The 15,378-nt window shown below is 34.9% G+C and overlaps 1 protein-coding gene across 4 annotated transcripts in view; it reads right to left on the minus strand.

The window, feature by feature from the left end:
* EYS (eyes shut homolog) overlaps nucleotides 1-15,378 on the minus strand; it is a 1,987,247-nt gene that overhangs the window by 1,660,608 nt on the left and 311,261 nt on the right. For all 4 annotated transcript variants that reach the window (NM_001142800.2, NM_001292009.2, NM_001142801.2 and 1 more), the window contains one exon: nucleotides 3,799-3,913. In NM_001142800.2, the coding sequence (NP_001136272.1) occupies nucleotides 3,799-3,913 (115 nt within the window). The remainder of the gene's footprint in view (nucleotides 1-3,798; nucleotides 3,914-15,378) is intronic.

The following is a 15,378-nucleotide window of genomic DNA, read 5'->3' on the forward strand; positions in this document are numbered from 1 at the left end:
AAGCAATTGCAACAAAAGCCAAAATTGACAAATGGGATCTAATCAAAATGAAGAGCTTCTGCTCAGCAAAAGAAACTGTCCTCAGAGTGAACAGGCAACCTACAGAATGGGAGAAAAATTTTGCAAACTATCCATCTGACAAAGGGCTAATACCCAGAATCTACAAGGAAGTTAAACAAATTTACAAGAAAAAAACAACCTCATCAAAAAATGGGCAAAGTTTATCAACAGACACCCATCAAAAGAAGTCATTTATGCAGCCAGCAAACATATAAAAAAAAGCTCATCATCACTGGTCATTAGAGAAATGCAAATCCAAACCACAACGAGATACCATCTCATGCCAGTTAGAATGATGATCATTAAAACGTGGAAATAATAGATGCTGGCGAGGATGCGGAGAAATAGGAATGCATTTACACTTTTGGTGGGAGTGTAAATTAGTTCAACCATTGTGGAAGACAGTGTGGTGATTCCTCAAGGATATAGAACTAGAAATACCATTTGACCCAGCAATCCCATTACTAAGTATATACCCAAATGATTATAAATCATTCTACTATAAAGAAGCATGCACACGTATGTTTATTGCAGCACTATTTACAACAGCAAAGACTTGGGACCAACCCAAATGCCCATCAATGATAGGCTGGATAAAGAAACTGTGGCACATATACACCATGGAATATTATGCAATCATAAAAAAGAATGAGTTCATGTCCTTTGCAGAGATGTGGATGAAGCTGGAAACCATCATCCTCAGCAAAGCAACATAGGAACAGAAAAGCAAACACCACATGTTCTCACTCATAAGTGGGAGTTGAACAGTGTGAACACATGGAGATAGGGAGGGAAATATCACACACCGAGGCCTGTCGGGCAGAGTGGCAGGAAGGAGAGGGAGTGTATTAGGACAAATACCTAATGCATGTGGGGCTTAAAACCTGTATGACGGGTTGATAGGTGCCGCAAACCACCATAGTACATGTATACCAATGTAACGAACGTTTACATTCAGTACATCTATCCCAGAACTTAAAGCAAAATAAAATTAAATTTAAAAATTTGAGACAGTTTGAACATTTAAAATGTGTATTTACCTTTATTTTCATTTATATCTAAAGATTATCTATACAATATATTTTCTAATTTTATTTGTTCTTTCCCTTTAAAAATTAACAATATAACTCACATATAGTTTTGCATGAAGAAACAAATACACCCCACCATGAAAGAGGATTTATTAATTTCTTAATTTTAAGAATTTTAAAAATCAGAATTTTATGATTTCTGATTTTAAGTTTTAAGGTCTGTTTTACATAAAAGTAAGGTAGGCATCAACTGGTTTCTGGTTAGTATTTCTCTCAATTTTTTCCATCATTTTGTTTCAATAAAGACATTTTATTTCATATTATCTCATGTGAACAGTACATACCTCTATTATGATTATGTTTATTTCTAATATAAATTTAGGTGGGTAATCACTGGTTATTGTTGTCTTTTTAAAAATTACTTTGATGCACAGAAGTTTTTAAACTTAATTAAGTTCAATAAACCAATTAATTTGTGCCCTATCTAACAAAGTTTAGTCTAATACATGGTCATGAAGAACCTCATCCTTTGGTGTTTTTTTTTTTTTTTTTTTGCTCCATTTTATTCTCAAGAAGTTTTATAAATTTCTCTTTAACTCTCAGGTTTATGCTTCATGTCAAATTAATTATTGTGTGGTTTGACGTAGGGGATATGGACTCACTTTTTTTCCATGTGTGTTGTGATAAGATGTTCCTTTGTTAGTTAAATTATCTTAGTGTTTCTGAGGGAATTCAACAGAAATTTCCCCGTGGATCTATCTTTGAAGTCTCCTTTCCTCTGTGTGTGTGTGTGTGTGTGTGTGTGTGTGTGTGTGTGTGTGTGTGCTCTTCTAGTTCATCCTTATGCTATGTATTAGTCAAGGTTCTCTAGGGGGACAGAACTAATAGGATAGATTTATATGAAAAGGGGAGTTTATTAAGGAGTATTAACTCATACTATCACAGGGTCCCACAGTAGGCTGTCTGCAAGCTGAGGAGCAAGGAAGCCAGTCTGAGTCCCAAAGCAAAGAACTTGGAGTCCAATGTTCGAGAGCAGGAAGTATCCAGCACAGAACAAAGATGTAGGCTGGGAGGCTAAGCCTGTCTAGCCTATTTATGTTTTTCTGCCTGCTTTATATTTTGGCTGTGCTGGCAGATGATTAGATGGTGCCCACCTAGATTAAGGGTGGGTCTCCCTTCCCCAGCCCACCAACTCAAATGTTAATCTCCTTTGACAACACCCTCACAGACACACCCAGGGTCAATACTTGACATCCTTGAATCCAATCAAGTTGACCCTCAGTATTAAGCATCACATGCTAGTACCACATTGCCTTGATACTCTAGCTTGAAAGTAACTCTTGAAATCAGGTTGGTAAAATCCTTCAGATTTGCTGTTATTTTTGATTGCTTAGCTATTTGAAGTCCTTTGACGTTTCATATCAGTTTTATAATCAGCTTACCCATTTCTACAAAACATTTGTTAATATCAGTAAGAAGAAAGGACATCATAAAATATTAATTTTTCTATTTCATAAATATTTTATAACTTTATTTATAGGGCATATTCCATTTCCCTCTAATCTTTTTTTTAGTTTTCAGCATAGAGATCTTAGCCACATTTTGTTAAATGTTTTCTGAAGTGTTTTGAGACAATTATAATCATACTTTATTTCACTTTTATAGTATTAATTTTTAGTGTCATGTCTTAATTAGTTGTTGCCATATTACAGAAGCACTATTGGTTTCTAAAAAGTTATAATGAATCCTGGAATTTTGCCATATTTAACTTCTTAGTTCTACTTTTTAATTTTTATAGCATTCCAATGAATAGTAATGAGGAATGCTTATCAAAACCATACCATTTTATTTATTCTATCTTCATGTTGTATTTATTTTTCTTGTCTTATTTCTCAAAAAAATTATTTTTTGAAAAAAAAAAGCTTTGCAGAAACATTGGAAGTTCCCTTTGTACTCTCCCTGATTTCATTCTCCCATCTACCTCCCTATAGTTTGCCTTTCAGATAAAGCTGGTGTGTGTAATCCTCAAGTTTATAAAATTTTAAAATTCAATATTTTTATATTTGTAAGTATTAATACATATAGCTATTGTCTATTCATTTTAACTAGTTTTTATAATTCCATTGTGAGACTACACCATGATGAATTTGTCCGTTCTCTTATTTACCAGGTTTAGTTTCAGATTTGAAGTGAAAATTCCTGTGTATGTCTCTCTCAGTAAATATCTGATAATTTCTCTAATAGACATACCTACAAGTAACATTGCTAGGTTGTGGAATATCCCTTACCATGTGTAGTACAGACATTTTGTATTTGTAAAGTAATTTCAAAAACTATTCACTAAAAAAGCATATTTTGTGGACCCTAACAATCAACCACTAGACTGATTTTATTTCTCATCTAGTTAAAGAGCTTAAAGTATTAGTAACTGGGGTTTTATATACTAAGAAGTATATCACCAGGCCTCAATTAGCTTTATACTTACTTTATAATAAAAACACCTCCTAGAACATTTATTAATTCCCTCCCAACATAATTCTTATAAATTAAAACCCCTATTGCTAAGCTTTACATAACTCACATTTAAATATAGATATAAGGATATGTTTCTCTGGCTAAGATTAATAAGAGCATTTGAAATATAGACTAACTGAGTCTATTGTATTTTGAAGGGCTAACTTATGTTGCCATGTATTAAATTACTTACTTTGAATCTTCCAATTATATTGAAACACCATTCTTCATTCAGACAGTTGATGCTGAGCAGTTTACAGTGGTCAATTGCTTTCTCACAGTTTTTTTCAGTAAATCCTGATATACAGCTGTAAATACATCAGTGTAAATTAGAAAAATTATAATTTAAATGTTTTCAGAAAAGCCTATTAACATTATTCCAAAAGGAATAAGGCTTTGTTTAAATTATATGGTATTATTAATCATTTTTTAATACATACCTGTGATCTTAGCCAAAAAGCTCCTATTTATGTATTTGGAAAGAATTACAGTAAACTACATTTTCAATGTATGCTCTTAATGATCTCTTTTGGGAATTTAAGAATAAAATAAACTTTGGCCTAAACTGATACTTAACAATACAGTATATGTTTTGGAAAACTAGTGAAATATGAAGAAAAAACATGACAAATGTGATTTTTTAATGTTTAGTAGAGCCAGTATATACTGATGATGTGCTAGCAGGAGTTAATGATGACTACATGAATTTGAGACAGGATAGAGTGCCAGTGGATGATAACGGTCTAGTTATAGTTGGGCTACTTATAGGACTTCTGTTTGTTAGTTGTCATTTTTAAAATTGTTTTTCAAACAATCTATATTCCAGTCTACTGTATTTCATTAACTGCAATCTATAAGTTGCTAAAGAACACACACTGGTGTTCTGGCTTCCACTGCCCTCACTTCTAATTAATTTGTAGGAAACAGTCCTGTGCCTTAAATCATATTTAGTAAACTTTCTATTATAAAATAAATGGGACCCCAAATGAAAGAATGTTTTTTCTAATGTAAACACCAAATATTTTAAGACCAAAAATATGACTTCTCATGACTTTAAGTTGGTAGAAGCTGATTTATTAATGAAGTGAATTTAACTATGTATTTATTATTTTAAATCTGTTATAAGAACACAAAATAATTTCATAAAAGGGATCAAAGGCCATGTTGGCACAATTTCACTGAAATAGCATCAATAAAATGCTTTAGTAATTTACCTTTCCTATAGTTTGAGGCACACAGCTTTGCATTTTCATCTTGCAGAATTAAATTATTTCTCCATTCATATCAGAAATAATCATCCACTTTTTTTCAGCACCCACCATATGCCAGTCACTAGGCTAATTACTTTTACACAATTTTCTTAAGTTCTCATTCAATTATTGTAAGTTGTGAAATACATTATTATTTATCACTTTTATAAATGAGGAAACATACCCATGGAAATTACATTAGTTGCTTTGGCCATATTACTTACAAATTTTACAGTGGTTAATAAAATTAAGTTTGTCCTAACTTTAAGTGCATTATTTTACTCTGCTATTCCATAGATGAAGACCTTTATGTATTTTACTCTACTACTCCACAGATAGTAAGATATATGTACTTTACGTCTCTCATTCTGAGGGGCTAGCTAGATATCCAGAAATCACTCCAAATACCAACTTAATGAAAGGTAGCAACCCTTCCTATTGAGGATGAGCATGTAATAGCATAGAGAAGAAGAGAAGAGCTTTAGCATATCCTAAAAGTTGATGAGTTTCAATTTTCCTTTTGAGTTGGAATGGACTGAATTGGCCAAGAGCAGTTAAAGACACATGTGACTTTCGGGCTTACTTTGTGTTGCAGTTTCCAAAGAGCAGGATCAGGTCTATGAATTGAAGAACCAATATTCAGCCACTAAGAAGAATCAGACCCAAATGGTGTTGAATGAACACTGGGCAGCAGCAACTCTGAGAAAGTGTTTCTAAACAGAGCAGGTTTTATTGATCCAAAAAAAAAAAAAAGGCCAAAGATTTTCTACTCTCAGTACACACTAGGTAAGAGACCCCCCAAATACTATCTGCAATGTGTGGCTCAGAGAGGTTTGACCCAAAGGCGGAGGACTAATGTGTACTAGGCTTAATACCTGGATGATAAAATAATCTGCACAACAAATCCCCATGACCCAAGTTTACCTATGTAAGAAACATGCGCTTGTATCCCTGAACTTTAAAGTTTTTTTTTTCAAAAAGGGAAAACTTTCCTACTGAGTTTCAGGCAATCATCTCCAATCCCCCACTCCCAGTGATGGCTTGAAATCTAAGAAGCACTTCCAAGTCTTACTCATAAGAAAAATGTCATCCTATCAACTCAGCCTGCTGTCAAGGAAAAAGAAAGTTTCAATAGTAGCCTTGACATTTAAGAATGTAAAACAGAGAAAACAAAAGCAAAGTAAACAAAAGCAAACTCTGGAACAACATGGACCTTTTTAATAAATGTGTTTACAAAAGTGCATTAACTTCTGTTGAAATGCTCAGAGAGACTTATAGCTAACTAATTTGAGCTACTCTAGGTGTCCAGCAGCCATTTTAGTCAGAGGCCAATTGTTTTAAATACAGGGGGAGAGAAAAGGAAGACCTTTCAGATTACCGTGTTTCTAAAATGTCCAATTTATAGTTTGTTTTTATGTAAAACTATTTTGAGACTTTAGGGTAAGGGTAACCTCAGGATTGTGATGGAAATATTTAAGGTGTCATTTTAGTGGTAAAATGGGAAATGATACATAGGAAAGCAGCGAGGATCTGTGAAGATACATGAAAGGGAAGGAAAAAAAATAATGAAAATAAAATATAATAGTGGAAAAGAGGAGACAAAAACAATACTCTTATCCTCTTTTACTTTTTCCTTCCTAAAATGATTTCTTACCACTGATTTAAATATCTTTCTATTATTAGGTTTCCTTTTGCCAATAAAGCCAACATTCATTAGTTAATTAGCTTTATTTCTTGGACATAGCATTCCAAACTTGTCCAGTGACCTATGGAATGCACACTACTGATTTTAATGAGAAGTGTCAGGCACTGTTGGGAACACAGCATGAATAGAGTAGGGACAGCAATATCAGAACAAAATTCCATCACCAGCATTTTGGTAAATGTTTTATGTAATACAGAACTACTAGTATTTATAACTGCTATTTATTTTTAAAGTTAATTTATAAGATAAAAATCAGTGAAACAATATTTACTACATTTTAAATAGGTTTCAAAATGTATTTTTTCAAAATATTAAGAAAAGCCCATAAATTTAATATAATTAAAAATAAAATGTTCAATATTTTACTAACAGTAAAAATTATTACTGTATTAAAATAATAATTTCATAAAGCAAAAAATTAGAAAAAATATTTTTTAAAGAGTTAACTTCAAATTGGAAGTATACTTTTGCTTAAAGTTTTCTAGCTGCTGAAATAGCTTTTTCAAATTCTATACTATTCTAGTAAATGGAAAGGAGATAGTTATAAACTAACTTCAGATAGTTTTCTCTGCTGTGGTAACTTGAAATACTCTCATCACTTGTTTGTAAACTTGGAATCAACTTTTGATACATTTTTTTCCAGGAAATGAACAGTTATATTTGTAATTTTTATAATGTTTAAGTTGTAATTTTTGTCTTAAAGCATTGTAGTTCACATTTGTCTCTTTGGTTTCATCATGCATACATGGGGATTCTGATGGAAAGTTACTTGTATCAGTTTCAATGCTGTCATTGAACCTATTCCGCTACTTGGGCAAAAAACCCTTTGAAGTAAATTAAGATTTATTCTTATAATAGAATCTTTGCAATACTATTGCATGCTTACATACTGTGACTTGTGTGGGCATAGACAAATGTCCAGACCTATGGACTACTTCATATGATGAATTTATCTTTTAAGCATAAACTGAGCAACAAGGTCACTGCCTGGATTTCAGGAAGCAAATAATTCAGATGTAAAAGTGATTTAAAGATGAAAATAAGAATCTTAGACAAAACCATCTGTATTTGATAATTAAAATTAACATGCTATACCTCTATCCTAGAATATAGAAAGCTAGTATTAAACCTATTAAAACAGCAACTCCTCTGCCTTATTATACATTAGTTTATGGGGAAGGGAGAGAAAATTATAAATACATGAGTATAGTGACAGATAGGGAGAGGTGCTATATAATTAATAAATTAAAACCGATAAAAGTGGAGGGAGAAATTGAGAAGAGGTATTTCAAGGCTGTGTCAGGATCAACAGGAAAGACATCTTTGAGGAGATAATATTTGAGTGAATGGCTGAAGGAAGTGTACAAATTGCTACTGTGCTGTCTGGGAAATGTGCACTTCAGAAAAGGGAAAGGCAAATACCAAGGATTGAAGCAAGAGGTCCTTGAGATATTCAGGAAACATCTCAAAGACCAAAGTGGTGACTTAGTAGGAGATGGTGGCAGAGAGATAGGCAGGAGGAAAATATGGCTCACCTTGTAAGCATTTAAAATACTTTAGGTTTTATTAATGCACGGGAACCCCCTGAATGGCATTGGCAGAGGAATAACATGATTTTAAAACATATATATTCTTTTTTGTGGATAAAAAATGATAAACAAGCAAACTATTTTACAGTTACTTTACCTGTAACTTTCAGCATCTAAAATAATCACAATCTGTTTTCTAGTTTCTCAGGTCAAAAACTATAGAGCCAATATATTTGTTCTTTTTCTTTCTCATTCAATCCGCTCTAAAGAAACATTGTATTGACTCCATCTTAAATATACATCCACAATCCAACCCCTTCTTATTATGCCCTCTCTCCAATTCTAATCTAAGTCACTGTCCTACCCAGTTTACTATACTGTAATTACTATAATAGCTTATTAACAGGTCTCTTTGCATGTGCCCTTGTGTCTGTACAGTTTCCTTTCAAAACAACAGTCACACAACAATTTAAAAATATAAACCAAATAAAGTAACTCATTTGCCAGCAACACTGCAATACTTGCCATTGTACTTAGAGTGAAAATGAAGGACTTTACAAAGGCATTCATGATCTAAAGCTGCCCCAGATTCTGGTTTCTCTTCTAACTTCATTTCTGCTACTTCCCTTGCTTTCTCCAGAGCAGTTAGACTGGACTCATGCATGGATAGGGCCTGAATAGGCCAAGGATTTTGCAATAGGTACTCCCTCTGCCATGAACACTCTTCCCTTAGACAGCTGCACATTCCCTCGCATCATTCAAATCTCCGCCAAAATATTAGCTTTTTTGATGAGACTTCCATTCACTATTTGACATGTACCTGAATGAAGGTTCAAAACAATGAGGTCAAGAGGGAGGCTATTGAAATGTTCCAGCTGAGAATTTGGCTTGAACAAGGGTGTTAACATTCCTAATGATAAAAGTGTTCATATCCATGATATGTAGTTATGGGAGGGTTTAAAGGATTTGTTGATGGACAAGACGTGTCAAAAGAGAGAAAAGAAGAAATCAAAGAGTAATGTAAATGAATACTGGCAGAAAAGAAGCTTTGTTCAGGGCTCAGTAATCAATTATGAATTTGGAATACATTAAGTTTGAGCTTCTATATTAGATATATATAAAATGGACAAGAGTTTAACGGTAGGATGAGAATTAAACAGGTTTGGTGTTTTCAGGTCAATGGAACATAGAAAAAGAGAATCAAGGAATTTGAAAGTGGATGTGTAAGTATGTTTTTTAAAAGAAAATGGGGACCTGCAGGGGGTACTAGACACAGGAATGTCAATGTAGTCATATAATTGGAGGTCCTGTTGCTTTTTTAAAAATTTATGAAATTTTGTCATTACAGTACATGAGTGAGTGAACTTGAAATACAGGAAGTGGGGATCAGAGAGTGAAAGAATTTAAATTAAAGGTATTTCAGGGTGTGCAATTACAGGCATGATAACTTATAGGATAAGACCATGGGAGATGGACTGAGGTGAAGGAGAGGGGGAAATTAGCAAAATAATTATCAAAAAATTTAAACAACCAAAGTGAGTGGATTTCCAAGAGGGATACCAAAGTTATCAAAAAATATGACCACAGTGGTGATAAAGAAAAGGTCAGCAAACTAGATGCTAAAACATTTAGTAAAGGATAAGCAGAAACTGAGAGAAAAGCTACTAGAAAAGGAGCCAGGGAGAGGGGGAGGGGGAGAGAGAGTCAGAGAGAGAGAGAGGATACAGCTGCTGGCTAGGGTTTTCAGAAGGAGAAGGGAAAAAATGGTTTGGATATGGCAACAAGGGCAACGCTGTCTATACACTTCACTGCTTGTGGTACACAACTGTAGAAGAATGAATAGTGACCAACTCAGAAGGCTACAAGAAAAACTGTCCTCAGGTTTCAGTGAGAAAAAAAAAAGAAAGTGTAGAAAAAATATTGTGGGCTGGGCATGGTGGCTTATATCTGTAATCCCAGCACTTTGGGAGGCTGAGGCAGGAGGATCGCTTGACTCCAAGAGTTCCAGACCAGCCTGGGCAACATAGTAAGACCCCATATCCACAATTTCTTTTTTTCAAAAAATTAGCCAGGTGAATAGCCCCAGCTACTCGGTTACTTGGGAGGCTGAGATGAGAGGATTGCTTGAGCCCAGGAGGTTGAGACTGACATGAGCTTGGTTCACAACACTACATGCCAGCCTGGGTGAAAACATGAGACCCCGTCTCTAAAAAATAAAAAAATAAAGAAAAAAAAATACATTGTGGATACTTGGAAAATATTCTGTGGACAAAATGAGATACAGAGGGCACAGTGGAAGAATACTGGATATTAACAAATATTGGAGGTTGTGCAAAGCATTATGGGGCTAAGGTTCCTTTAATCAGGTATGCCAGGAAGACTTAAAGATTTCATGATGTTAATTCAAATTTTATCTGCACATGTCTGTACTTATTATTTTTTATATGGAAATTAATACATTGAAGGAAGGAAGAAAGTTTATACTGATGAGAACATATGTTCTTAAATGAGGCATTTAGGGGGCCAGATTACAGGATACCTCCTGTCCCCTATAACAATATTGCAGAATGTAAAGTTGTACTAATAGTAGCAAAAGCTACTCTTGATGAGAAAATGGCAACAATGTCCTAGATATTTTTAATAGTTATATAGTTTATGACCAGAAACTGAAGTTAAAAACTATATTTAAACTTTAAAAAACTTTTCCCTATGTTAAATTTCAGAATGATTGATTCAAAAAAACCCCATTGTCTCAGCCCAAAACCTCCTTAAGCTGACAAGCAACTTCAGCAAAGTCTCAGGATGCAAAATCAATGTACAAAAATCACAAGCATTCTTATACACCAACAACAGGCAAACAGAGAGCCAAATCATGGGTGAACTCCCATTCACAATTGCTTCAAAGAGAATAAAATACCTAGGATTCCAACTTACAAGGGATGTGAAGGACCTCTTCAAGGAGAACTACAAACCACCGCTCAAGGAAATAAAAGAGGATACAAACAAATGGAAGAATATTCCATGCTCATGGGTAGGAAGAATCAATATCATGAAAATGGCCATACTGCCCAAGGTAATTTACAGATTCAATGCCATCCCCATCAAGCTACCAATGACTTTCTTTACAGAATTGGAAAAAACTACTTTAAAGTTCATATGGAACCAAAAAAGAGCCCGCATTGCCAAGTCAATCCTAAGCCAAAAGAACAAAGCTGGAGGCATCACGCTACCTGACTTCAAACTATACTACAAGGCTATAGTAACCAAAACAGCATGGTACTGGTACCAAAACAGAGATATAGATCAATGGAACAGAACAGAGCCCTCAGAAATAACGCCGCATATCTACAACTATCTGATCTTTGACAAACCTGAGAGAAACAAGCAATGGGGAAAGGATTCCCTATTTAATAAATGGTGCTGGGGAAACTGGCTAGCCATATGGAGAAAGCTGAAACTGGATCCCTTCCTTACACCTTATACAAAAATCAATTCAAGATGGATTAAAGACTTAAACGTTAGACCTAAAACCATAAAAACCCTAGAAGAAAACCTAGGCATTACCATTCAGGACATAGGCATGGGCAAGGACTTCATGTCTAAAACACCAAAAGCAATGGCAACAAAAGCCAAAATTGACAAATGGGATCTAATTAAACTAAAGAGCTTCTGCACAGCAAAAGAAACTACCATCAGAGTGAACAGGCAAGCAACAAAATGGGAGAAAATTTTCGCAATCTACTCATCTGACAAAGGGCTAATATCCAGAATCTACAATGAACTCAAACAAATTTACAAGAAAACAACAAACAACCCCATCAAAAAGTGGGAGAAGGATATGAAAAGACACTTCTCAAAAGAAGACATTTGTGCAGGCAAAAGACACATGAAAAAATGCTCACCATCACTGGCCATCAGAGAAATGCAAATCAAAACCACAATGAGATACCATCTCACACCAGTTAGAATGGCAATCATTAAAAAGTCAGGAAACAACAGGTAATGGAGAGGATGTGGAGAAATAGGAACACTTTTACACTGTTGGTGGGACTGTAAACTAGTTCAACCATTGTGGAAGTCAGTGTGGCGATTCCTCAGGGATCTGGAACTAGAAATACCATTTGACCCAGCCATCCCATTACTGGGTATATACCCAAAGGAATATAAATCATGCTGCTATAAAGACACATGCACACATATGTTTATTGCGGCATTATTCACAATAGCAAAGACTTGGAACTAACCCAAATGTCCAACAATGATAGACTGGATTAAGAAAATGTGTCACATATACACCATGGAATACTATGCAGCCATAAAAAATGATGAGTTCATGTCCTTTGTAGAGACATGGATGAAATTGGAAATCATCATTCTCAGTAAACTATGGCAAGAACAAAAAACCAAACACCACATGTTCTCACTCATAGGTGGGAATTGAACAATGAGAACACATGGACACAGGAAGGGGAACATCACACTCTGGGGACTGTTGTGGGGTGGGGGGACGGGGGAGGGATAGCATTGGGAGATATACCTAATGCTAGATGATGAGTTAGTGGGTGCAGCGCACCAGCATGGCACATGTATACATACGTAACTAACCTGTACATTGTGCACATGTACCCTAAAACTTAAAATATAATTTAAAAAAATTAGCCTTATAAATGTGACTATTGATTTCAAGCAAAGAAAAATATAGCAGCCCAGCTTTTGAGATAATTAACTCCAAAAGATTAAGCTTTCCTGTTGAAAATTATTGAGTGACCAAGTGGAAGCATTCCATTAATTAATACATTCCTCATGCAAATATGTGATTGCTATTTTAAAAATCATTTTTCAAAATTAATAAGAAAATATAATTTTATTATATGTTGAAATATGTCAACCTATGCATTTCTGCAAATGCAGTGTCTTATTTCATAGTCACAGTGCATACTTAGTTAGTTATATTTGTGACATAAACTGAAAACCTTAGTTATATTTGTGACATAAACTGAAAACCTTAACTTTACCCATGACTGATGTGGTGAGATTTATCACAAGCCAAATAAAATAAATGCTGAAGCTGACTTGGGGATGGGGGTGGGGGAAGTTATGTTAATACATCAAATTGAAATTTAAGTAGTGTAAGTTATAATAATCTAAATCCAGTGAGTAGAAAACAAAAAAAAACACAATAAGCTGAGAATATAAAAGAGAATATCATTATCGTTGAAATATCTCAGAATTTTGGAGGAGAAAATAAAAGGCTTAGAAAGCAAAATTCTCTATATCACAACATTTCTGATTTTTAAAAACATAGTATTCATATTTCTCTAATATTTAGTCAGTGGCATATTTTACAAAGTTTTCTCCCAATTAATTTGGTTAAATAGTTGATTTTCAGACTTGAAAAATTTTTATGAGAAAGACACCAGCTGGTTTAACAAAACTTTATTTCCTGGCTCATTTCCTCATTTTACTCTAAATAGTAAAAATTTGATCCTCCTGATATGTTGAGAATATTGGAGTCATTGCATTCAGTAAAAATTAGTGTGTGTGTATGTGCGCACGTGTGTGTGTGTGTGTGTGCAAAATGGCAGTATTAATAATGTAGTTCATGATAATCTTCAAAGCCATTAAGTGATTTTGGTGAATAAACACTTTCTACTCTACAAAAGTGGGAAGTATGGTGGAGAATTCAGAAACCTACATGTCAGGTCACAATGACTTTCCCTTCTCTACTCATGAACCTCCATCCAAGAGGTGATCAGAGACCCTAGGAAGCATCAGTGGAGCTGTGTCCTGTAGCGCCGTGGACACTGCCACCTGTGTAAGTGAAGTGCAGCACAGAGTCCTGTAGCTGTAGCACTGCCTTTGGAGAAATTTCCAAATGTCTATCGAGCTCTGTGAGCTCCTGAGAGAACCCAGCACTATTAACTTTATGCCAACACTCACAATCAACCCACTATGATCTACCTTTGAGGCCATTAAAATTAATCCCTTTTTACCATTACCTCAGATATCCCAGGAAGCCAGTGGTTTCCAAGTCATCCCTCACTGTGTGGTTCTTTTCCCCCAAGCAGCTCTGTACACTTCTTTCATATTCTTCTTAGGAATCTCTTTCCTTTGACTGTAAACTCTCAAGTGGTGGTTATTCTTTCTCCCTCTTCTCTCACAGCCCAATGTCTACATGTTGTATAGTTGTCTTCATCTTTTCCTCATGTCCCGTCCTCTTCCTTAAAAGCTTTACTTATTTCAAGATGATGCCATCAAACCATGCTACCCATATCTTCTCCTGTCATAGTCATAGCCAACCTTCCTGAGCATCCCCTCTAATTCTTTAACATTTAACCTCTGACATGTTATATCTTTCTCTAATGTAATCCCAACCTTACTTTATTTGTTTGTCTGTCTGTTTTGAGACAGAGTTTCGCTCTTGTGGCCCAGGCCGGAGTGCAATGGCGCGATCTTAGCTCACCGCAACCTCTGCCTCCCAGATTCTATTGATTCTCCTGCCTCAGCCTCCCAAGTAGCTAGGATTAAAGGCATGCGCCACCATGCCCGGCTAATTTTGTATTTTTAGTAGAGATGGGGTTTCTCCATGTTGGTCAAGCTGGTCTTGAACTCCCAACCTCAGGTGATCCTCCCGTCTCAGCCTCCCAAAGTGCTGGGATTACAGGCGTGAGCCACTGCGCCCAGCAATCTCAACCTTACTTTGCTATTTTTTTCCAACTTTATCGAAGCATAATTGACAAAGTTGTACAAATTTAAAGTGTAAAGTGTGATAATGACTTGGTATATTATATAGTGTGAAATGATTATCCTTAGTTAACATATCTGTCACCTTGCACAGTTATCATTTGTATATGTGGGGGATAGCAGGTAAGATCTATTCTCTTAGCAAATTTCAAGTATGCAATGCCTCATTTTTAGCTATAGTCATTACCTTGAACATTAATTCCCCAGAAGTTATTCATCTTTTTCGTCTTTATTTTTTTATTGATAAATACTGTTTGTACATATTTATGAGATACACGTGATGTTTTGTTTCATGCTGAGAATGTGTGATAATCAAGTCAGATTTAGGGCATCCATCACTTCAAGTATTTACTATTTCTATGTCTTGGAAACATTTCAAGTTCTCCCTTCTAACTCTACTGAAATATACAATATTATAACCCTTTGAACACCCCCCATTTCTCTCAACCCCAATTGCCTGAAAACCAGTATTCTGTTTCTATGACTTTGACTTTTAAAAATTTTACATATTAGTTAGATGATACAGTGTTTGTCTTTATCTGGCT

Source organism: Homo sapiens, chromosome 6 (assembly GCF_000001405.40).
Source record: "Homo sapiens chromosome 6, GRCh38.p14 Primary Assembly".
NCBI lineage: Eukaryota > Metazoa > Chordata > Mammalia > Primates > Hominidae > Homo > Homo sapiens.